The 26,733-nt window shown below is 36.3% G+C and overlaps 1 protein-coding gene across 12 annotated transcripts in view; it reads right to left on the bottom strand.

Annotated features, from left to right (window-relative positions):
* EXOC6 (exocyst complex component 6) overlaps positions 1–26,733 on the bottom strand; it is a 232,660-nt gene that overhangs the window by 38,932 nt on the left and 166,995 nt on the right. For 10 of the 12 annotated variants that reach the window (NM_001013848.4, NM_001319194.2, XM_017016344.3 and 7 more), the window contains 2 exons: positions 22,944–23,085; positions 6,292–6,365 (listed from right to left, as the gene is read on the bottom strand). In NM_001013848.4, coding sequence (NP_001013870.1) covers positions 6,292–6,365; positions 22,944–23,085 — 216 coding nt within the window. Of the gene's footprint in view, positions 1–5,043; positions 6,210–6,291; positions 6,366–22,943; positions 23,086–26,733 lie in introns of those variants that run through there. The other 2 variants (XM_047425369.1, XM_017016348.2) reach the window with 2 other exon arrangements.

The following is a 26,733-nucleotide window of genomic DNA, read 5'->3' as shown; positions in this document are numbered from 1 at the left end:
TGTAAGGTAGGCAAACATATTTTTAATAAGAGGCATCTCTACAGAAACAGAAGAAAAACAATGGTCCATGTCTGGAGTAGTCTATAAGCTAATTATTGGAGTCTCTGAAGCATCTTCAGGTTGCAGTGGCAATCTGACACATTTATTATTATTATTATTATTATGGTTTGAATCAGGTATTCAAGCAAACTTTTTGCACAGTCCATATATCTGTAGGCATAAAGGCTGTTAATATGTAAGTTGCTCTGGTGATTTTTGTTGAAGTTTATATTAAGTTCTAGCTTTAGGGCTTTAAGAAAAGCAGTTTTAATTTTTAGTGATTTTAAGTGAGAAAAATGTGAAAACATTAGTTTGGAGACTTGTAGCTAAAAAAGAATTTAGGATTTGTTCTAAATTGCAGGCAAATAATAAAAACTCAAAAATAATGGACAAGGCTAGAATCTAATACATGTATACTATGGTTTTTCCTTTAATATGTATTTTTTCTAGTCCCCCTTTTAAAAAAATCAAATACAAATTATACTAGGACCAATTTATTTGTAAAATAAATTTTAGTCTTACCATATTTGGCCTGATTATTTGTATAGTGCAGCAAGAATAGTGATTCACCATATGGACTTTTTAAAAACGGACTTCACTGGAACTTTTAATAAGGAATTTTGGATTAGACTTTTAAAAGCCTCAAGGGTAGGAAAGCAAGCTGAGCATTTGCCATCAGACTGTGCCTCTAATATCGGTATGAACTGGGTGAAATTTTCACTTTTCGAGGTCCTTGAAGTATCTTGAGGTTCTCAGGCCTGCCAGAAAGTGACATTTTTTACTTATCCCAAGGTCAGGAACCTTATAAGGGAACTGTGTGGATAGGGTACAGGGCCAGTCTCTTTTTTGTTTTTTTGTTTTTAAACTTTATTGGCTTTATAAAGTCAACCTCAATCCCTCAAAGCAGTCTGGTCATATATGAAAACATGACATTTTAGTCAAATCCTTGGTAAAATAACCAGTGTTTTCAATGTGTCCTGTTACAAAAGAAAAGATTCTTATGGAACTTATGTAAATAATTAGATTGTCATAAAACTAGAATATTTATGGATAGTTTCTAAATTCTGGAGAAATCATCTAGAGAGAAAAGTAAATGTTTTGATTTTGTTCATAAGTATATTTTAACTAATTGCTGTAAGTTATGAATAGCTTAGAAGAAAAAATTTTCTTGGCTCTGGAAAACAAAACATAGAAAGAATCAGCAATGTTTTAAATAAAAAGTCAACAAAAAATCATTTTGGGCCAAGTGTGGTGGCTCACGCCTGTAATCCCAGCACTTTGGGAGGCCGAGGCGGGTGGATTGCTTGAGCCCTGGAGTTCAAGATTAGCCTGGGCAACATGGTGAAACTCCATCTTTACCAAAAATACAAAAACTAGCCAGTCTCATAATCTGGTCTCAAAATAAATAAATCAATCAATAAATAAATACATAGATTAACATTTAAAAATAAAATAATAATAAATTATTTTAGTCCACCATCAGTTCAGTTCCATGTAATTCTTGTTTTGCTTGATGTTGGGTTAGCAATCTTTATGAATGTATCAGCTTTTTAATTAGAGTCCTGGAAGTTTTTTTACCTAGTCCAGTGGTATGATTTCCAAAGTCACCAGACACCTGTATGTAAGAGCATTTGTCAGGGTCTTTTATTTTTTTAATTTAATATTTTTATTTTTATTATGAAAAATTTCAAACATATATGAAAGTAAATAGCACAATAAACCCATCATCCTCACCTCCCAGATTCAGCTACTATCAATAATTTTTCTTTTTAAAGTATTTTAAAACAAACCACAGAATACATTTCCCTGCTTTCTCCCACTGATTTGTCTGAATTGGGATCAAAACAAGTTACACACATTATATTTGAGTTTTATGGCTCTGAAATATCTGGTAAAAAAAAAAAAAGTTCCTTTTTAAGATTTAAGAGGCAAACACTATCTGAAATACAAAGAAGGAATTGTGAGGACAGTATGCCAGCAATCATATTTTGGTAAGGGTAGGAGCATGGATGAGGAAAAAAATTAATGGAAAAAGACCAGCAGGAAATAAAACAGAATGCCAATAATGATGTGTTTGGGTAGAAAGACTATGAGTAAATTTTTCTACTTTTTTGTATATTCTAATGTTTTTTTGAAAACATGTATAACTTATGTACGTGTACTTTTTCATTTTACCTATAATATTTTATTATGCCTCTAGTAAGGCATTTAAAAAACATATTCACCATGTCATTATTATACCTTTTAAAAATAATTTAATACCAAATATCTAATATCCATATTTCCCTGATTATCTCAAACCTGCCCCCTCCCTTTTTTTTATAACTGGTTTGTTCAAATTAAGATGTAAACATGGTCTGTACATTGCTGTTGGTTATGAGGTCTTATTTAATCTTTACATATAGGGGGGTGTGATTTATGTCAAAGATGGTTATGTGATGGTCTGCATAAAGAATGTATTTCTTTTTTAAAATTTTTATTTTTATTTTATTTCTTTTTTTTTTTTTTTGAGACAGAGTTTCACTCTTGTTGCCCAAGCTGGAGTGCAATGGCACAATCTCGGCTCACTGCAACCTCTGCCTCCCAAGTTCAAGTGATTCCCCTGCCTCAGACTCCTGAGTAACTGGGATTACAGGTGTGCACCACCACGCCCAGCTAATTTTTGCATTTTTAGTAGAGACGGGGTTTCACTGTGTTAGCCAGGACGGTCTCGACCTTCTGACCTCATGATCCGCCCACCTCAGCCTCCCAAAGTGCTGGGATTACAGGCATGAGCCACCACGCCCAGCCTTTTATTTTATTTCAATAGCTTTTGAAATATAAGTGGTTTTGGTTACATGGATGAATCGTATAGTGGTGAAGTCTGAGATTTTAGTGTATTCATCATCCAAGTAGTATACATTGTACCCAATATGTAGTGTTTGTTTGTTTGAGACAGAGTCTTGCTCTGTCGCCAGGCTGGGGTGCAATGGCATGATCTTGGCTCACTGCAACCTCCATCTCCCCAGGTTCAAGCGATTCCCCTGCCGCAGCCCCCCAAGTAGCTGGGATTACAGGAACCTGCCACCATGCCTGGTTAATTTTTTGTATTTTAGAAGAGACAGGGTTTCACCGTGTTGGCCAGGATGGTTTCTATCTCCTGACCTCATGATCCACCCGCCTCAGCCTTCCAAAGTGCTGGGATTACAGGTGTGAGCCACCGTGCCCAGCCCCCAATATGTAGTTTTTATCTCTCATCCCTTCTCCCACCCTCCCCCTTTTGAGTCTCTGGAGTCCATTATATAACTCTGTATGCCAAGAAGCAAATTTTGGACTGTAGCCAATTGTAAACTGCTTTTTGAGGAGAATCAAGAAAAACAATTAATATTCTGTAGATGACAAAAGACTTAGAATAGCCATGGTTAGGCTGAGTGCAGTGGCTCACACCTGTAATCCCAACACTTTGGGAGGCCAAGGCAAGTGAATCACCTGAGGTCAGGAGTTTGAGACCAGCCTGGCCAACCCGGCGAAACCCCACCTCTACTAAAAATACAAAAAAAATTAGCTGGGCTTGGTGGCACACGCCTGTAGTCCCAGCTACTTGGGAGGCTGAGGCAGGAGAATTGCTTGAACCCAGGAGGCGGAGTTTGCAGTGAGCCAAGATCGCGCCACTGCACTCCAGCTTTGGTGACAAGAGCGAGACGCCATCTCAAAAAAAAAAAAAGAAAATAGCCATGGTAAAAGACACCAATTGACAAGGGAATTTTGTTATTTTTGTGACATATAATAACATAATAATTATGACTGATAACATATATCAAGACATCAGAATTTCAGGAATCCAATATAATTTTGGAACACATGAATATTTGTATAAATATAATTCAAAGCAAGTTAAATACCATTTCTTATTTGACAATGTTTCTCACATGATTTTCTTATATCGAATAAGCCCTAATATGTCTCTCTTGAGCTTCCAGGGGCCCTTTCCGGAATATCCAAAAGTTTGAGTTCAAAAAGACAATTTTAGAATCTGAAATTTGGGGAAGTATGTCAAATATCAAAGGTTTAAAACACTTGATTAAAATAGGATCACAGGTGGTTGGGCGCTGTGGCTTATACCTGTAATCCCAGCACTCTGGGAGGCCAAGGCAGGCGGATCACTTGATGCCGGGAGTTCGAGACCAGCCTGGTGAACATGGGAAAACCCCGTCTCTACTAAAAATACAAAAAAAAAAAATGAGCCAGGCATGGTGGTGCGTGTCTGTAGTCCCAGCTACTCAGGAGGCTAAAGCAGGAGAATTGCTTGAACCCTGGAGGCAGAGCTGCAGTGAGCTGAGACCATGACACTGCATTCCAGCCTGGGCAACAGAGTGAGACTCTGTCTCATAAATAAATAAACAAATAAATATAGGATCACAGGTGACTGTAAAATAATAGTCATTTACTTAGCCAGTGATAATTTAAAGATTTCAAAAAATAAAATTTTTTTTATTCTTTGATAAAGAGAAGACAGTTTTTTAAATAGTCAAATGACCTAATAAAGACCACCTTCTTCACTTTCTACTATCTTTCCCAACTCAGCAAGGTTAATCATCTACAGATCTAGGTCACCTATAACAGTGTTCCTTGTTTGACGTAATATCTGAGCACTGACTGCAAACAAAAGTACATATGAATATATTTTATATGTACCATACTTTACAGACATAATTTGGAGATAAGAATGGCTTTTTCAGTCTCCTTCTAAACCTGACTTGAAGATATACCAATTATTTCCACACGACTCATTGTCTTTTTTTTTTTTTGAGACGGAGTCTCGCTCTGTCGCCCAGGCTGGAGTGCAATGGCACAATCTTGGCTCACTGCAAACTCCACCTGCCATGTTCAAGGGATTCTCCTGCCTCAGCCTCCCCAGTAGCTGGGACTACAGGCATGTGCCACCACGCACAGCTAATTTTTTGTATTTTTAGTAGAGATGGGGTTTCACCGTGTTAGCCAAGATGATCTTGATCTCCTGACCTTGTGATCCATCCGCCTCGGCCTCCCAAAGTGCTGGGATAACAGCCCAGCCGGCAACTCATTGTCTTATAAGGATTCCTAACCAGTTTATGTTTTGCTTCTCTAAAGCATGTTTAAGCTCCATCAGGATAAAACTATTTCTTATATTACTTTTATATTTATTTCAACCACATCTTTCCTCTGCAAATAATGAATATATAATAGACAATAAGTATTTAGGAAACAGTGGGTTGGAATTATCTATATTCTCAAACATTTACTGAAGTCAGAGTTTCTTAACTGCTCAAACTGGTGCTGCTCCAAACATCACTGTGGTAGAGTCTGTTCATACCAATGATGAAGCCTCATCTCTATCCCCTAAAGGGAATGGGAACCATTAATAGACTGATACCACAGTGGCTTTGTTTTAATTCAATCTCCATATGGTTCTTCTTGCAAAGGCCACAGTCACTCCTACTGTCTATTCTAGCACTCCTGAGCCCTCTAACTTGGATCCTCCTTTCCTACTATGACCCCCTTGTGACTCCCCAGCTTTATTAAGCTACTTAATAATAGGAATTAAAAAAAAACAAAAAGAGGAAGAGAAAAGAGGAGGAAAAGAATAAAAAAAAATAAAGAGGTGGAAAAAGGGAAGAAAATAAATAAAACGACAATAGATATGTCAGAGTAGCAAAATGAATAGAGTTTTTAAATGACCATATTTGTTACTACACTTAGAGTATTGTGGCCAGAAAAGAATTGTGTAAATGTCTCATTACATTTTTAAAACTTATTTTATCCTTCTTTCTGGGATCAACAGAAAATTTATAAAAATAGCATTCTTTACCATTGAAAAAATTTTATGCAAGGGGTTACTTTCTAGGTTGTAATAATTTACATTTAACTTGGGTCCTGACATTAATGTTAATACCACCAATTTTCATATATGACCATGAGATTATTAAGAAATAATTTGAACATCAAGTGTCATTATAGCAAGCTACAAAGTTATGATTTAGTAATGTGCTTAGCAGGTAATGACTATTAAATAAATTGAATATTCACTGATGAGAATGCTCTATGAAGTTGAGGTACTGAATGCATTACAGGTTCAAAGAGATGTGCCAAATACATAGTTACCAAGGAAGGATTTTTCTTAAGATAGGTTGTTTCAAGGCAAACAGGCATTCCTGTAGCATTAATAAAAAAAAAAAGTGAGGGGAGGGCAAGAGTTAGAGGGCAACAAATGGGAAGTACATTATTATATCTTACTTGTCTGAGGTCAATGAATGCTAGCTGCAGGGTATCCCCCTGGAATCCTGGCACAGGCTCAGAGCTGGCAAACACTATTAAAAGAAAGAAAAAAAAAGAATAAAAATGAGATCACAAAATATACAAGAGTTTAACTGATAAATTAATTTCTACTCATTATAAATGCATTATAATATTTACACATAATCATTTCAAATGAAGATTATTTATAAACTTCAATTTCCACTACTGAGAAAGTTCTCCACATCCATTACCTCAAGTGTTTTAATAATTTTAAATTTCTAATCTGCCATTTAATCACTGTAATCCTAATCACAATAAATTTAGGAGGGTTTTCTTACTAAAATTTAACAGTAACGTACTTCAATCAAGTAAAGCTTTCTGACCCTTTTTAGCCTTAGGTGAACGATTGTAGAAGCATTTAAAAATGATACCAATTCCATGGCTGTCAACATATTTTGAAACATTTGCTTTGGTAAAGAATAGGTGCTATTAAAAAATCCCACCTCTAGCTAATAGCAATAAAAGGCAGACACCAAGGTAAGAAGTCAACTTTACATGCAGACAATAAGTAAAATGTTCTAAGTAGAAAAATCAGGATGATGCAGGAATGTCTGTTCATGCCTTTTAATTATTTTTATTTTTATTTTTATTTTTTTTGAGACGGAGTCTCATTCTGTCACCCAGGCTGGAGTGCAGTGGCGCCATCTCGGCTCATTGCAACCTCTGCCTCCCAGGTTCAAGTGATTCTCCTATCTCAGCCTCCCGAGTAGCTGGGACTACAGGCGCATGCCGCCACGGCCGGCTAATTTTTTTTGTATTTTAGTAGAGATGGAGTTTCACCATGTTGCCCAGGCTGGTCTTGAACTCCTGAGCTCAGGCAATCCACCTGCCTCGGCCTCCCAAAGTGCTAGGATTACAGGTGTGAGCCACCACGCTCGGCCAGTGATTTTTTTAGAAAGGATTCATGCCTCAACTAAAAAAAAATCTCAACGAGAATTTTTAAAATTTCCACAGATTCCTTCAATAATTTTTTGTGGTTTAAAATTTTTAATACTACTAACATAGCTTACTTAATTAAACTAAAGACAATTCCAATATTAGTTATTTTAAAAACTTAAAACACTTGGCTCATAAAAAAGACCCTGTCATTTTACATGCAAGCTTCTCTGATAAGAATGCCTGTAATCATTTTCCCACCCCATTAATTTCTAATTTTCTTTTCTTCTTCTTTTTTTTCTTTTTCTCGATCTGTCACCCAGGCTGCAGTGGCATGATTATAACTCACTGCAACCTCGAACTCCTGGGCTCAAGGAATCAGCCTCCCAAGTAGCTGGGACTACAGGCATGCATCTCCACACTTGGCTAATGATTTTTTTGTTTTTTTGGGGGTTTTTTTGGTAGAGATAGGGTATTGCTATGTGGCACAGGCTGGGCTTGAACTCCTGGCCTAAAGCAACACCCCTGTCTTGGCCTCCCAAAGTGCTGGATATTCTGATTTTTTTAGAGAACATTATAGATGTTCCATTTGTGAATTTATCTGAGCTAGAATTTTGGAAGCTATTTAAAATTTCAGCCTATATAGTTCTTGGAATAACAAAAGCAATTCTTAAATTTAGTGTATTCTGTGTGAAATATAGTTTAGAAAGGCTCAAAATCAACAATTAAAAACAATAAATAAATGAAAATTTGCACAGCTTAATTTATCTGGCATCTCTGGGGAATGTTGCTGTTGTATAATTTTTGCTTTAAGCATCAGAATTTTTCTTTAATCTTAGGCATATTTTACAAAATTCTAAAATGTATCGTAATTCTCTGGGTCACCATTAAGAATACATTTTGTTCTATAAAGTAAAATTCCCAGGGGCTGTTATGGAAGTAAGAGCTGTTTTTTTGTTCTATTAAAAAGCTGCGCTATTTGAGTTCTTGTGTCTAGCTTTTCTAATTTTTCTGCCTTCTCCCTGGTAGTTTTAACATGAATTCTTACTCCCTACTCTCTCCCTCATCTGTCTTATTAATTTTATCTTTACTCTTCTTGAGCAGGTAAGCCAGCTAATCAATTACTAGAATTATGTCTAAAGTAAGAGCAAATACAACCTAAGTAAGGGCCTCTCCTACTAGTAAGGTTAATAGGTTTTATACACGTTCCTTTGAGCACATGTACCTTTTGAGAATGAGTAACCTTTTGGTTACTCAGAGATGCACCACTTTTCCCCCTTTGTTCTTGGTTCTCTGCTAGGTTATGGTCATTAGATAAGTGACTAAATTCACCATTCTCAGACCCCTTTTTTCTAGAAAACCAAAATTTAGTGACCAAATCTAGCCACACTTTTCAGTATTTAGTACAATTTATTCATATCACTGTCTTGTTAGACAATAAGTGGTATACTTTCATACAGTGGTATCACCATTACCCTAGACAATAAGTGGTATACTTTCATACAGTGGTATCACCATTACCCCCTACTATGCCCTAGGTAGCTGAGTTGCCTTTCTCTAGTATCATTACGTCTTAACTGAAAATGGCCTAGGTAGCTGAGTTGCCTTTCTCTAGTATCATTACATCTTAACTGAAAAACGATAAGCAAAATTATACCTTTTATATTACATAGTAAAATACATTATTTTATGTTGGCCTTTTATATTATAATCATAAAAGGTGTTTAAATTAAAGGTGTTTTCTAACTTTAAAAAAATACTTTTTTTGGCTGGGCATGGTGGCTCATGCCTATAAATCCTAGTATTTTGGGAAGCCAAGGCTGGAGGATTGCTTGAAGCCAGGAGTTTAAGACCAGCCTGGGCAACATAGCAAGGCCCCATCTCTACAAAAAAAAATTAAAATTAGCCAGGCATGGTGGCATGCACCTGTAGTAGTTCCACCTACTGGGGAGGCTAGGGCAGGAGGATCACTTAAGCCCAGGAGGTTGAGGCTGCACTGAGCCATGATCGTACCACTGCACTCCAGCCTGGGTGACAAAGCAAGATCTTGTCTTAAAAAAAAATACTTAGGACCATCCAGCATTTTATTGGCCTTTTTTTTTTTTTGGTCACAAAAAAAAACCATAAATCCCTAGTGGTTCTCAACCAAGGCTGTAAATGTTACCATAGCTTCTACCATCACCATGGATAGATACACATATACTCATAAATAAAGACTTTCTATGATGCAGGGAGACTCATTTTATCAGGCACAAAAATAAGCTCAATTTCAATTAGACATATAGTTATTATCTACTTAATGCTCAGAATTTTTCTACATTAAAAATAATCTTAAAATAATTTTTCTTCTCCCTAGGTTCCTGTTGAAGATACTATCATTTAACCAAAGAGCTCAATGTCAAAATTAATGATACTATAAATTTATATAGCACTTTATACTTTACTAAGCACTTTCTCACACACCATCTGCTCTGAGCATCACAATAACTTACTTGAGTAAATAGGGCATGCAGATGATGGATCATAAAATCTTGCAACTGAAAGAGACAACCTCTTTGAAACACGTCCAACAGTCCCCTAAAGACTCAGTTTAAAAGTTGCCGAGTCCATTTTTTTTTTTTTTTTTTTAAGAGATGGAGTCTTGCTTTGTCATCCAGGGTGGAGTGCAGTGGCGCAATCTTGGCTCACTACAACCTCCTTCTCCCAGGTTCAAGCGTTTCTCATGCCTCAGCCTCCCAAGTAGCTGGGATTACAGACGTATGCCACCATGCCCGGCTAATTTTTGTATTTTTAGTAGAGAGAGGGTTTCACCATGTTGGCCAGCTGGTCTCAAACTTCTGACCTCCAGTGATCTGCCTCGGTCTCCCAAAGTGCTGTGATTACAGGCGTGAGCCACCACACCCAGCTGAGTCCTTCATTTTACAGGGCAGAAAAATTAAAAGGAAAGTGACTTGCCCGGGATTATATAACTAATTCAGGTTTTCTGGCATTTACTCCATTAATCCAGAATCTGATTAAGTATTCAGTCTCTCATCTTTTATCACATCTCTCATAAGAATCTAATCAATATGGAAGTGAAATTCACTAGATTATAACACTCAGGGCTTTTTCTCAAATTTTTTTAGGGGTAGAAGGCAATTTAGTGATCTGATAATCATCTGGCACAGAGGACATTCGTAATGATATGCTATTGATTCACAGCTTCGTATTTTTCCCTTTATTTCTTTAAAACTCAACTGCAGTCAATCTTGTTGTTTCTACTTCCCAAAATATCTCCTGAGTCTGAATTTGTTTCTACCTTAGTACAAACTATCATCATTTCTTGCTTGGATTACTGAAACACACCCTATCTGATCTCCCTGCTTCTGGTGCAACCTCTCCATCCACTTCTTCCAGTAGGATTTACACAGATGTGACTTGTGCCACCTCACAGTTTAACATCCTTCAATAGTTCCCCATCATCTTCAAATAAAACAAGGCTAAGGTCCTTTGCAATCTAGCCTTTGTCTATCTGCCAGCCTCATCTCATCATTTCCCTAGGGGCACCTTAGTTTCTATACCACACCAAACTACCTGTACTTCCATGCATATACCACTCTCTTTCCATGATGCTTTGATCCCTCTGCCTACAGCATCCTTCCTCTTATTTTCCATCTGGGTAAACTCTTATTTATCCTTCAATCATCGTCTTCCTTGGGAAGACTTCCATTATCCCTGCAGGTTGGCTTATGTCCTTTCTCTGTGTTCTCACTGCAACTTCCTGTGCACAGCCTAACTTCAGCACTCACTTTGCTGCCTTGTAATTGTTTATCTGTCTGGGTCTTCCCACTAAATCATGAACTCCCTGAGAGCAGGGACGGTAACTTCACTTCTACATTCTTATCACCTAGCGCAATGCCTGACTTATAATGAGTATTCAATGAAAGTTTCTTAAATGAATGAAGAAAAACAGAACCATAAATAAATTCTAAGGAATGTCATCCAGTATTGGATAGTGATATATTATGTAGCTTGTTGATTAGATTTAGAATGGTGCTGTCCAAGAGAATGTTCTGCAATAATGAAATGTAATATCCATGCTAAACTTAATTTTTGGTTTTATTTTAGTTAATTTTTTTTGCGACAGGGTCTCACTCTGTTGCCCAGACTGGAGTGCCATCACAGCTCACTGCAGCCTCCCTCAACCTCCTGGGCTCAAGCAATCCTCCCCTCTCAGCCTCCTGAGTAGCTGGGACTACAGGTGCCATCATGTCTGGTTATTTTTTTTATTTTCTGTAGAGACAGGGGGACTATGTTGCCTAGGCCAGTCTCAAACTCCTGGCCTCAAGCAGTCGTCCTGCCCTGGCCTCTCGAAGTGCTGAGATTACAGGTATGAGGCACTGCATCCAGCTTAATTTAAATTTCCTAGCCATATGTATTTATTTAACAGTGCAAATCAAGAACATAACTGTATACACTTAGTGTATTTATATAAAAGTAATTTAGGGTGGGTGAAAATACTCCTAATAGTTTCTTCAATTAAAACTAAATCATGAGCTCTTCCACTAAACAAGAAGCTCCTGGGAAGTAGTTACATACACCATACCTGTCACCTAGGAAACAGTCAATAAATGTGTGTTGAATGAATAAATAGTAATACAAATCATTTCTACTAATATTGTCTATGGTCCCAATAATTCATGGGGTCAATTTTAATCTTTTAAATTTTTAAAGAATTGATGACTAATTTTTGAAATCTCTAGAAGTACTATCGTCAAATTACTTTTTGGCTCATTCAGATTCTCATTTTGTATATAATTTGTCATATTTTGGGGATTCCTAATTCTCCTCCCTTGGACCATCTTTAAAATTTTAAAAACAATAATGCCCACTTCCCCCCCTATTATGGTGTCTTTGTTTTTGTCATTTAGCCATGCCTTTAAGGGTATTTTTAAATAACACACATTGATCCTGGTTTCCCAATAAGATATGTAAAAATCATTTCCAGACTATGAAGTGTTCTTTTTTAAGAGATTCCAAATCTTTGTTTTTTTCTCTTAATGCCTCCAATTTGACTATTTCCTTTTTAATAAACAAAATAACTTCAGGATATTCATTTCCTCTTATTTTCTGCAATAATAAATGATTTCAAATTTTCTTTTCTTTTCTTTTTTTGAGATGGAGTCTCACTCTGTTGCCCAGGCTGGAGTGCAATGGCACAATTTTGGCTCAATGCAACCCCTACCTCCCAGGTTCAAGCGAGATTCTCCTGCCTCAGCCTCCTGAGTAGCTTTGATTACAGGCATGCACCACCAGGCCCTGCTAATTTTGTATTTTTAGAAGAGAAGGGGTTTCACCATGCTGCCCAGGCTAGTCTCAAACTCCTGACCTCAGGTGATCCGCCCACCTTGGCCTCCCAAAGTGCTGAATTACAGGCGTGAGCCACCGCACCCGGCCTGATTCCAAGTTTTCAAATATTCTTAGATTAGAGAAGGAGGTGTCTGATCTTATTGGGAAGGTATATTATAACAATAGAGTAAAACTCTGCTATATCAGCCTAACTTGGAAGAAGACTAGTTTGAATCAATTTAGATGAAAGTGGGAACAAAAAATAATGTATGCGGGGTAAGCTGTGATTATAACAAAACTATCTTCCAAATTGGCAATCGATGAAGTTGGGTTTTTGTTTTGTTTTTGGAGACGGAGTCTCGCTCTGCTGTCCAGCCTGGAGTGCAGTGGTGTGATCTCGGCTCACTGCAACCTCCATCTCCCGGGTTCAAGCAATTCTCCTGCCTCGGCCTCCAGAGTAGCTGGGATTATAGGCATGTGCCACCACACCCAGCTAATTTTTTTGTATTTTTAATAGAGACGGGGTTTCATCATGTTGGCCAGGCTGGTCTTGAACGCCTGACCTCAGGTGATCCACCCACCTCGGCCTCCCAAAGTGCTGGGATTACAGATGTGAGCCATTGCGCCCAGCCGGCAATCTATGAAGTTTTAAGAGAACAAAGAATACCTGTAGGCAAAACATGAGTTATTTGTATATATAAAAAAAAAAAAATTTTTGAGTAGGAAAACAGGCCCTTCCCCTCAGGATCTATGCAAAATGTAAAGGGTTTGTTACGAGGGGGGAAGGAAAATTGCCAAGATGTCAGGCCATAAGTATTTATCTTGACTGGAAAATATAAAACCTACTCTGAAATTAAACTCAGAGGGAATTAAACTCAGAAGTCCTTGAAAAATCTTGTTCTAGGCAGACAGTTATCTTTATCATAAGGCAGAGAATGTAGATTGTTTACAATGTAGATATAGAAAACATCCATACAGGGTAGGAAGAATTGTCAGGGGGTAAAGAGGGTGGGGGAGAAAAAGGGCCCATGGAGTCATAAGAGGGAATACATCAGAAGCTTGACAAAAGACTGAAAGAAAGGGGAGGAGGCTAAGCTAAAGTTTTAAGATCTTGCTTGCAAATGACCACACAGGTGCATATAAAATGGAATAATTCTGTAACTAAATAAATGGCTGAATATGAATGCCAATATTCATTCTATTTGAAGATACTTCTTGTAATTTCATTTCTATCTAGATCTGAATATTAAAGTAGCTAGTAAGAACTCAAGTTTTGTTTAACAAACTTTGTTATTAGACAAACAAAGTATCCCATGTGAACCAGCTGTGTCGTTAGAAGGAATGACTAAGAGCACCATCTAGTGGTTTTTCTGGTGGTGAAGAACTTATGCCTGGGAATCAGGAGAGTTAGGATTCTTGGCTTTTAGATGTATTTTCTGCTGTATGCGGTCAGCAACAGTGGGATGCAAACCTCGAGGACCAACTGTTACTCTACCTTCATCACCTCATTTTTATATAAAGTAGTATCTAGTTTTCTCCATTTCTTGGAATTAAACCTGGGCAAAGTATCCTCCATCAGATAGGTTAGGTATCAAATTCAGGTATCCAAACCAGGAACAAATTCAGGTATCCAAACAGTGTAACAGCATCCAGCTTACTTTTTAAAAAGGCACTGAAATATTCTTCTCTTACCATCCAGATGATTTTGCCTTAATACTTTTATTATGGGGCACAGCCCTTTTTCAAGGCTAGAATTAGAGGTCATAGTCGCTAAAACTCTATAAACAGCATCCTTTTTTTTTTTCTTTTTTGGCTAAGCTTTCTTGTTTTGTTTTGTTTTTGAGACAGGGTCTCACTCTGTCACCCAGGCGGGAGTACAGTGGCATGATCACGGCTCACTGCAGCCTTGACCTTCCAGGCTCAAGCAATTCTCCCACCTCAGCCTCCTGAGTGGCTGGGACTACACATGTGCACCACCACATCTGAGTAATTTTAATTTTTTTTGCAGAGATGAAATCTCCCTATTTTGCCCAGGCTGGTCTCGAACCCCTGGGCTCAAGCGATTCTCCAGTCGTGGCCTCCCAAAGTGCTGGGATTACAGGCATGAGCCATTGTGCCCAGCAGGTTAAGTTTTTATCCAAAAATTAAGAAAGACCAAGGCTTTCACATTAAGAAACTTATCTACTCTCCAATAACTCACCATTGAAATAGGTGCCAGCACTCTTTAATCTGGAGCTATTCTAATGCCTTTTCTAATACCTACAGATTTCAGATGTTAAACCCTTAGGAGCTAATAACCTAACTTAGACATTTGGGCAGAATGAATTTAAAAATGTATTCTAGACCTACTCTGGATACTTCAAATATAGAATAGGTCTTTCTGATTGCCTGATGCTTGGGAAATAGTCTGTATTTTCTTAGTAACAGGAAGAATTTCTGTGACACCTTTGTAAGAACTTGTTTAGAAGACATATTAATCTTTTCTTCTATATGGTTATATCTATAAGGTATCTATATTGGTACCCAATATATAATAAGTATTTAATAAATATAAAACAAAGTACATACACTGATTCAGAACATCATTCTCATACCTTGGCAAATGCTCCTCCAAATAAGAAGACATTTATCTTGAACTTGTATAAAATTTATACTAAGATCAAAGGTTCAATGTAGCTTTCAGAGGGAGCTATTTTTGCAATTTCCAAGTATGTATTCCTGGTTATCTTCCTGACTGTCTCCAAACATGCAGTTATACTAGCATGATGGTTATGGTCAAATTAACCAAAAGTTAACCTCTATATTCATACATAGATCCTACCTAGTATTCTCATACCATATACTTTTACAAAGTTTAACAATTTATAGTCATATTTATTAATGAAGTTATTAATTACTGTTTCCCCACTGGACTTAAACTCCAAGAGGGTAAAGACCTTTTCTGTTTTGCTTACCACTGTATTCCCTCAATGCCATGCACATAATAGATATGAAGACATAATTAATATATGACTTCAAAGCCCCACACTCTTCAATGTCTTAACATTTAACTGCCTTTGAATCTTAGAACCAGGACGTTATCTTGAAACATTTATCAATTCCAAATTCCATGTGTTATGGGAAAAATTTAGGCCTCTTGATGGTTGAAGGGTTTGTCCAAGTCAACTTGCTCAAGTTAGAGGCAAAGCCAGGACTGGAAGCAAGGTCTCAACTTCCTGACATGTACTCAGACCATCTTAAGACTGATCTGAAAGCAATTTAAAAAAGAAAAGTTCTATATAAGTTCATATAATTCTATATTCCTGAACTTAGACATTGTATCCACTTTGACCAAGTATAGGTTAAAAAAGTAGAAAAACAGGAAAAGATCCAAAGAAAATTTACAAAAAGGCATGTGAAAATACCCTACAAGGAAACATTTTAAAAAATAACTACTTAGCTCAGAAAGATAAAGTTAAAAGGTCATTCTTCAGTCATCAAATATGTGAAGAATTTTTATGAAAGAAATAATGATTAGTTTTGTTTAGATCAAGGAGTTAAATGGTCTTGAGTTGAAATACAGCAGTATCAGCTGGGTCTTAACTTTCTGACAACAAAGGTAGAACTCTAGAAGAGACCAGTGTTGGTTACAGAGAGTTCCTGATTTGTTACTTTGTTAATTTAGTCAATAAACAAACATCTGTAGACCTTTTATTATGAGCATAGCACTCTGTAAGATACCTGCAATTTCAAATCTTCTATGTTGAATTTAATTAAACTATCCATCCTGGATGGTTAAATCATATCAAATTGTACCTTTACTCATTCACTCTTTTTATGTATTCCCTCCTCCAAAATGCCTGGAATCCATACTCTCCATTCCCACTGATGAAGGTTAAGCTTTTTTTGTATTTCACATGGAAAAGTTCAACAGCCTTTTAACAGGTCTTCCTGCTTTCAGTCTCTGCCTCATTCCAGTACAAATTTCTAAATGACACTAGAGTTAACATTCTATGACACAGATTTAATCATGTCATGGTCCTAATTAAAAAGCTCCATTTTGTAGTCCATCCACATATGATTATTTGAAGATTCCCTAAACATTGTCTTATCACAGTGCTTTTGTCTGTCTCATTCCCTCTGTTCAGAATGCCCTTCCCTGCTTTTGGTGAAATCTTATCCATCTCAATTTTTACTTTTTACCCAGCTCAAATTTTACTTCGGTCATAGTCAATCTTCTCAATCCCACAGCATACAGAATTAATTGCCCCCTCTCTACACATAATACATATTCTATAAACAATTAATTATGCTCTATTACAGTTATGTACCTGTCTCGTACCCAGCCAGACTATGAAATCTTTGAAGTTTATCTTTGATTTCCCAGTATATAACAAACATATAATAGGTTCTCGTTAAACATTTGCACAAATGAATCTTCCTATAAAGAAGTTGACTTAACATGGGAAAAAGTTCTGTTTCATAATTACAGACTGAAATTTTAGCTCAAGCTAATTTAACTCACAGGTACGTGTGTCACCCGTCACAAGGAATACCAAAAAAAAGAGCACCAACACATTGTTTCAAAAAACAAATGAGCACATAGATGGGTCAATGCTAATTCTTCTTCATCATCAGAAAAATAAAACGAACAAAAACAAAAAGTACATGGCTGAATGATGGTATAGAATAATTTGTCAGTAACTGAATTATTTCCACCTTTCCACCTCCCCCACTACATCTAGATGTGCTATTTGTTTCTACCTGCAGATTGACATTTTGAGGCTGAGGAAATACATGTATGATGTTTTTCACAGAGTAACAAGAATGGGAAAATAAACATTTGGATTCTGATTAAACCAAATAAAAGGAAAATCTAGCACAGAATAAAGGCCATTGTTGGTGCTTATATTTCAATCTTGTAAATGAAACTCACTTCTTATTGCTTAAATTTTATGATTTAAGCATCTTTTCTGAGTTGCCCAGCATTTCTTTGGTGGCTCATGATTTCCAATCTGAGTTCCTGATCCTTGCTACTGGACTTCCTTGGACTATGGCTCTCTTGCTAGCATATCACAGACTAGCAGGATTTTATGTTAATCCTGAGAACCAATCACAGGCTATTAAGTAAAGATTTCTGAGAGTCTTCAAGAGAAAGTGATCACTATGAGTCAATACGGATTTATGACGAATCCGAGTAATGTCATTTTCTTATTTGAAAGGGTAATTAGACTGGTAGATAAGGAAAATTCAATTGCTGTTATTAACTCTTCATGCTAGCAAGGCTTCTGACAGAAGCTGCTCATAACATGGAGCAAGATGCCAAACTGTGAGTTAGATTCAATCAGAGGATTAGCAACTGGCTGAGAAATCTTAAGGTACCCATAAGGTTCTGAATAATTGACCTAAATAGATACAAAGGAGAGGTCCATGTAATACAGCGGTTCTCAAACTTTATCATGCAACAGAATCAACTGGAGGGTCTATTCAAGCAAATTGCTGGGCCTCATCCCCAGAGTTCCCAATTCAGCAGGTGGGGCCCAAGATTTGCATTTCTAACAAGCTCCCACATGATGCTATTGCTGCTCATTTGGGGACCACATTTTGATGATGTACTGTATCTCAGGATATTGATGTTCTGTATCTAAGGATATGAATAACAGGTTTTGTTCAATATTTTGCTAATGACTTTGTTAAATATGTAGAAAGAATGATTACAAATCCACAGATATTAACTTTTGATATAAAAAGATCTCAACAGGCTAGCTATGGAACACATCTCAAAATTTATTAGGGATAACCTTAAAATCCTAAAATAAAAACCAACCACATATATATATAGGATAAGAAAAATAGAGCTTAGCAATCACCAAAAAAGGGGGGGAGGAATACACAGAGATAATAGAATCCTGTAGCTTCAATGATTTGGAAGTATATTCTAGCTACTGAAAAAGGTTTAACAGTTTTGGCTTTATTAATCAATTATAGAATATGAAACAATGTATTTGATAGCAAAGCTACATAATTATACTTGTTCTGTACACCTGAGTATCTCTATATTTAATCTGGGGCATCAGATATGAAAGAGAAGATAGTTAAACCAGTTTGTTCAGAGAAGATTTTTGGATCTAAAACTATATCACATAAGAAGAATAAGAATAAGGAATTATTGATGTCTGGCCTTCAGAAGATTTAGAGACATGTAAGAGCTGTTTTCATGTAACTGGCTTGTGGATAAGGATTTGTTTTTTCCTGTGTGACCCTAAGCCAAACTTCAGATATAGTTGTCAGGCTGCTTGCTATACACAGGTGCCCAACTGAGGAGAAAAATGGGAAGGAGAGAGCTAAATCCAGCTAATGTTTTATTTGATAAGCTATGTGCCTTCGTAGGGGCCAAGTCCAGATGGGAAAATAGTAACTTTCTCTAATTCCGATAAAGGGGGCAGGCAGCTCTAGAGGGTTTTTTCCTTTTACTGAGAACACCTTTTCTAATTTGCACAAAAACACAATATAGACTGGTGGTGACTCTAACCCTAAGGTAGAACTAGGTCTATTAAGAGAAATTTAGAGAGAAAGTGGTTTCAGTTCAGTGTGAGAGATTGATAGAGTGATGTATTGTATCGAAATGTATTTTCTGAAGAGTAATCTCCCAAATTGGATGTTCAAGGAATGGCTGGACAATTACTTGGCAGGTTTATTATAGAAAGGATTTCAAGATGGAGGAGTGTGTGAGCATATCTATGTTATTAACAGGTGTGTGAAGAAACTCAATGATCTTTTAGCTTCTAGGATTCCCCATCTGAACTACCTGCCTTTCCTCTTCTTCATATTCCAGTTGATTTCCATGGTATCCTGACCTTTTCTCTTCACAGACTTACCAGGCACTCTAGCCTTTCTACTACCTAGCCAGATTTTTCTTCTTGCCTCCCTTTCTTCTCCTTTCCCTGCTCTAATATGCAGAAAGCATACATACTGCATTAAAATTGAGAATAAGCTTTGTATATTTAAAGAACTACTTTCCTCCAGATTTAAACAGAAATACTTAACATGAAAACTTATTTTTAAAATTCTTTTAACATATTTATTAGAGAAAGCTAAGTTTCATTTTTTAAACGATTTATATATCAATCACTGAAAGTCAGAAGTTGAGGGGTGGATGGTTTTTTTGCACCAGAAAGACTTCTTTATCCATGCTATATTACTTAAGTAAAAAGATGTCTTTTGGAAAAGAGAACACCAGAGATAGTGAAATAAACACAAAAATTTTTAATCAATTTTTTTTGTCCCATCAGTAGTAAATGCATGTTACTGTATTCAGAAGTAATGATTAAGGTAATACAGAAGTATTAAGAAGTAGAGCCAACCATAGGCAAAATCTTAAAGGAATCCGAGTTGTCTTCCGTGGTTTGTCTTTGGAGTCCTGGTCTCTCCCTTTTCATATCTACAGTGCCAGGACCTTAACCCCCATCAGGCTAGGGTTTACCCCTCTTGCAAATGGCCCCAGGCTTTTTTGAGTTATAGCTCATACTCAGGACCTTTCTTGGTCTTTTCCAAGAGACTAGCTCTTAAAGAAAACATCAGAGTTTTAAAAGGAGCCTCTAGTAACTCTGCCCAAAGGAGTATCTGAAAGTGGAAACTATCCTATGGCAGGATAGTGAGGCAAAGATTCCAGGGTGTTTGGGCCTTTCTCCAAATGTCAATAGGCTAGAGAGGTAAGAGAATAGGGAGAAGATTTAGACAACTGAACTTGTCTAATCAAACAGTAATTTCCATCTTTGAGCAATAAATTTAATTTAGAAGACACATCAAATGCCAAAAAGGTAGTTTAATCGTTTAGTTATTTTGAAGCCATACTAAAGATGTAATACAGTAATCCCCTCTTACCCATGGGGGATATGTTCCAAGTCCCCCAATGGATGCCTGAAACTGCAGATAGTAATGAACGTTATATTAATTATGTTTTTTCACATACATACATATATACCTATGATAAAGCTTAACTTAAAAATTAGGCACAGGGCTAGGCACGGTGGTTCATGCCTGTAATCCCAGCACTTTGGGAGGCCGAGGCAGGTGGATCACCTGAGGTTAGGAGTTTGAGACCAGCCTGGCCAATATGTTGAAACCCCGTCTCTATTAAAAATACAAAAAATTAGCCGGGCCTGGTGGCAGGCACCTATAGTCTCAGCTACTCAGGAGGCTGAGGCGGGAGAATTGCTGGAACCCAGGAGGCAGAGGTGCAGTGAGCCAAGATTGTGCCACTGCACTCCAGCCTGGGAGACACAGCGAGACCCTGCCTCAAAAAAAAAAAAAATTAGGCACAATAAGAGATTAACAACAAAAATAATAAAATAGAGGACATACGACAATATACTGTAATGAAAGTTATGTAAATGTGGTTATCTTTCTCTCTTACACACAAAATGTCTTAATGTACTATACAGCAGGTAACAAAAACTGCAGAAAGCAAAACTGTGGATAAGAGGGACTACTGTAACACGAAAATGTCTTGAGCAATGCTTATATAAGATATTTATACAGACAATGTCATACTGGAATGATCTCATAAGACAACTTTTAAAGAAACTTAAGAAACCAGTTTCAAAGTATTTGTGGAATGGGAATAAAAATTACTTTCAGCTTAAAAGCTTATAAAAATGGCCAGGCACAGTAGCTCACGCCTCTAATTCCAGCATTTTGGGATGCCAAGGCAGGAGGATGACTTGAGGCCAGGAGTTTGAGACCAGTCTGGGCAACACAGCAACACCTCATCTGTAATTTAAAAAAAAAAAAAAAAACTTGTAAAAAAAAAAAAAAAGTGTTTCTTAGGGATATTGTTGTAAATACAAAATAGGCCAAGGGTAGCTCATGCCTATAATCCCAGCACTTTGGGAGGCTGAGGTGGGCAGATCACTTGAGGCCAGGAGTTTGCGACCAGCCTGACCAATGTGGCAAAAGCCCGTCTCTACTAAAAATACAAAAATTAGCTGAGTGTGTTGGCACACACCTGTAGTTCCAGCTACTTGGGAGGCTGAGGCACAAGAATCGCTTGAATCCAGAAGGCAGAGGTTGCAGTGAGCTGAGACTGTGCCACTGCACTCCAGCCTGGGTGACAGAGTGAGACTCTGTCTCAAAAAACTAAAACATAAATATATAAATAAATATTTGTCAAACAATAGCTTTACTTTGAGAAAGAAATATAATAAAGGTTTTCTAATTAGAGAAAATTAAAAATGCTTTCTGGGAAAAGAAAATTAATCTTTCTCTTCCCTAGGAAAAAAACCATTTTTCTTTTGTTTTCTAAATAAACATTTCTTTTTTTTTAAATAAATGGGTAGGTTTTTAGAAACTTTGGAGTGTGTGTGTGTGTGTGTGTGTGTGTGTGTGTGTGTGGTGTGCAACAGACAATTGATCTTGTCCAAAGAGCCTATCTAATTATTTTCTATAATATTAATGATGTTTTTCCTAGCACAATGCCTTATACAGAGTGGGCACAAACTATTTGATATCTGTTGAAAAAAATCAGTCATTTCTGCTTCAGTTGCAAACTGCTGACATTTAATTTTTTAATGTCTTTCACAAAGAATACATTATTGCAAATTTTTCCTCAGACAAATATTTTATAATCCTTCTTGTGCCCCACTGATTTTCAATTTATCAACTGTGGTGCCTGATAGAATTGTCAACCAGGGATTTTCATTGTTTAATCAGTGTACCACTTATTTGAAAGCACTGCTTGAAAATTGCTCACATATACTCATATCTTGTACTTAAAGAATTATAATTTGAGGGTTGATAAAACCCATATCCAAAAGCACATGTAACAAGGCTAATGACCAAATAGCATATCCAGTTTTGAAGCTGATTGACTAACATCAACATTAGATTATGGAATCTGCTAGCCTTGTTACCTAAAAAAAAATAAAGTGAAAAACAATGGCAATACTAAAGCCTTGTGAAATCTAAGGAAAGGAGAAACAAAAATTCAGAAATTTCATTTGGAATGCAAGGTCCTGAGCTTATTCTTCTAGCAAGTATCTAAAAAGTTACTTACAGGGCAAGTAAGAATGACAGAATCATTTCATTCATTTATGACAAACATTAGGAGAGTCCTAGAAAAAGGCAAGAATGACCAGACAAGGAATAATGGGGAAAATGAATCATGTTTTTAAATATACCAATCTGGAATGCCACTTCAGTGCCTCTCTCTAGAGGCCCTAAATGTGAAGCTGAGATATTTTTATCTTCCTGTTTCAGGAAGTTAGCCCTACTCCTAAGGCTGCTAAAAGTTTAGCTGAACCAGGCCTTCTCCCTCCTTTCTGAACTATCCTGCTAAATACATTTTTTCATATAATTTAAGCATAGATTCCTAGTAATACATAAGAATAAACCAATATAGTACTTACATTCACACTGTATGACATCTAAGTTAAACTGCTGAACAGCTCCCATGCTTATTTGTTTTAACTCACTGTCCAGTAGCATCTGCATTAAGGATGTTGACAGATGCTGGCAGGCTGACATGCAAGCTGTCTGAGCAACTTTCCCCTGTTTAAAACAATCAAACCAAAAATCAAACAAATAAACACACATAGAAATACATCATAAAGAATCAGAAAAATCATACACCTGGCATTCTTTTTGTTGCTTATGCTTGGTACAATAGTGGTTACTTTCCTTCCTGTTTCTGTATTCTGAGTGGTTATACCTTTATATCATAGAAATTAACATTAATATTCTTAGTTTACTTGGCTTTCTCAGGATATAAATATCATTAAAGCTCTAACTGCACAAAGGAAAATTAAAATACCAGTTAAAAACTATTATTTCAGATCTCTTGAAATACTGAAAGCACTTTAGAAATGCATATTAAAATGACACTTATGACATAAAATAAGTCATACTGACAGAACATTTTATCCATTTAATGCTCCTTAATCTCTCCTTTAGCTAATTAACCAAGTCAGAATAAAGGAAGTTAACAGTATAATTTACTATTATTGCTATTTAAATTACAGCTAAAATTCAAAATACCCTTTGAATCATAAGTCCTTACTTCTAATCAGAACATTAGTCTATAGCATAGCTTCAATCACTGGCAGAAAAAAAAAGGTTTGTCTACCAATATGACTTCAAGATTATCTACAGATGTGCATTTAGCTTTAGAAATTCAGTTTTTAAATCATCTGGTAGGTTGGAAGTATGTGGTTGAATACTTGTGGTTTTCTTTCAGTATAATATACATCATTAAAAAATATTTCCTACTATAATAATCTCCTAAAACTCTACATGAACTTTACTGATGGCCTAAATTGTTTTCTTAAAAATGGCCTTTTTAAATGTTTAGCCTCTGCATTACACAGCTGACTCACAAAACTACATCACTTTTAGTGTAAATTAATTTTTTTTTTTTTTGAGACAGAGTCTCACTCTGTGGCCAGGGCTGGCGCAATCTCGGCTCACTGCAAGCTCTGCCTCCTGGGTTCACACCATTCTCCTGCCTCAGCCTCCCAAGTAGCTGGGACTACAGGTGCCCACCACCACGCCTGGCTAATTTTTTGTGTTTTCAGTAGAGACAGAGTTTCACCATGTTAGCCAGGATGGTCTCGATCTGACCTTGTGATCCGCCCGCCTTGGCCTCCCAAAGATAAATTATTTTTTTAAACAGGTTTTGCATTTCAACTAGAGGTTTAAAATATTATAAAAACTCTTTTAGGTAAAGTTCTCCTGCATAATACTGCTCCTAGGATGGCTACCTTCAACTGACAATCATGTGATTTCATGATGGAATGACTACTATGATAGGATTCAAAGATCTATGAATATCATCAGAAATAATTACTTTTGGAAGACATGCCATGTTTTGCCTCGTTTGCATTAACAAATATTTACCCAGTCATATTTGATAATTATATTTTTCCTACTTATCTCAAAGGCCAGAAAGCTACAAAATCGTGACCAAAATCTCCCAAACAGAAATGTTACAATATATTAGTACAAAAACATATTACATAGGGTTGATTTGTGAAAAAGGTAATAAAGAACATAAATACATTTTCAAGATGCTTATTACAACATTTGTTAAATCACACATTAAAAGTCAGACTAGAAACAAACAACTTTTTGAATGAGTTTTTTGCATTTAGACACTATGCACAGTGAAAAACTGCATATGTGAAACGGAATGTCAATTTCTCAATCGAAAACTTAAGAGATAAAAGCCGATGCAAACAATATATTTGACAGATACTGATGAACTGCCAAAAAGGAATGTAACAAACAATGCAAAACCCAGCATGATCCAAGATCCCCCAAACTCAAGAGGAATTAGTCTGGGAGACATGCAGCTCCATTCCCCAAGCAGAATAATATCAATATGAATGAGAAGTGGGGAAGCAGAGAAAGGAGAAATCAATGGCATGTCATTTAATTACAATGTAATAGGCTTCAGAATACTTAATGGAAATGTCATTTTGACCTAATGGAACAACTAGTGCATTTTAGTTTAATGTGCTTCTCCATCAAATCAGCTCCATGTCCTATGCATGCTGCCACTATCATGTACTAACTACAAAAGCTGATTAATAAATTGCCAGAAAATTACTATTAAATTAATTTCATAAGCAAACACACTGTACAATATAAGTGGTATTGTTTTATGTAAACTTTTAAAATTTAACATGGGTTCAGACGCTACAAATGATTACATAGCAATAGCACTGGAGCTGAAAACGATGGTAAGAGTAGACACAGGCTATTCCAGAAACCTGGTGGAAATAAGTAATGAAAACACACATGCACACATACATACACACACACAAATTTAGCTCTTTATTTAAATATCATGCGTAATACTAAAATCCTAACATTGAATTTCTTTTGATTAGGCATACTAAATCCAGGCTTATTGTTCTCAAAGATAGAAGATTAAAATATTTATAAAATATTTTATAAATCTTCAGATGAAATAAATAGCTCAAAATTTAAGTTCACAATATCAAAAGTTCAGATTCTTTAAAATTTTTAAAAGTTATATTCCATAAGATTATACAATATTTTTTAAATGTCTACTTTGTAACTATAAAATGTATACAACTATTCTTAAACTTCATGTACTACATATTTTTAGATAGAAATGTTAACACTCCAAAAATTTACACACCCGAAAATATATTTGAAAATTTATTTTTAATGTCTATAGCCATTGGCACACTCTGGTATAATCTTCTGAACACTATTATTATTATTATTATTATTGATGCCTTTAATAATATATCATTTTCTAGAATAAAAATAGTCTGAGTACTTTTACAACGATCTTTTAAAAACTAGCCCTTTTCATTAGAGACGCTCTAGTTTTTAACATTAACAAAAAAAGCCAAAATAATTAAGTGAAGTGACTGAGAAAACACAGCACATTTAATAAATTTCAAGCACCTCAAAATTTCTCTTGCCCTCATCTGAAAAATTAATTGCAACTATTACCAACATTTTCCCTCTCTCTACAAAGTTCAATAAATAAGTAAAAACACCTGCTAAGCTTTTAAAGTTAACTACTTTTTTACCCTGCTCTAACATTTGGCTGAAAACAACTTGCAAAGAGAGAAAACCCTTAGACAAACTTCTTATATTTCAAAGGACTTGTAAAAGAGAATCTGCTGACATATTAGATCCTTTTTGCATTACCGAAAAGCTTTTCTTCTAAGAACAATTGTGGTAAAGAGACATTTGGCTCCTAGGAAATTCCCAAAGGGTCAACCATATGCATCCTTCCATGGCACCTTCACAGTGCTGCTTTCTAGATTCATGTCTCAAAAACAGCTTTCATCATTTACTTGTGTGTCAGTCAATATGATTTATGGACTGCATTCAACAAAGTCAAAGCATATAGAATGAGAAATATGACTACAATCTGCTAATTTGTTTTGTATTGAGCCACTTAAGAGTCAAAGACCTGATGTCAGACTGAGACCAGTAACACAATTAACCAGCCGGTGACAGATTCATCCATCCTCCCTGCCAGGCTGTGCCAATCAAAGACAGCATGAGGCGACATTTGGTGAAATCAGTAAGAAAACTCATTCTCTAAGTAACCTATGTGAGACCTTGATTGACACTTTTTGAATTTAGTTTGTGGAACACAGCCACTCTTTACCCAATAGTCCCTCACTGCAAGCTGTGAAATAAGGCTTTTAA

Source organism: Homo sapiens, chromosome 10 (assembly GCF_000001405.40).
Source record: "Homo sapiens chromosome 10, GRCh38.p14 Primary Assembly".
Lineage (NCBI taxonomy): Eukaryota > Metazoa > Chordata > Mammalia > Primates > Hominidae > Homo > Homo sapiens.
The sequence above is the reverse complement of the archived record's forward strand: the minus strand, read 5'-3'. Positions and strand labels throughout refer to the sequence as shown.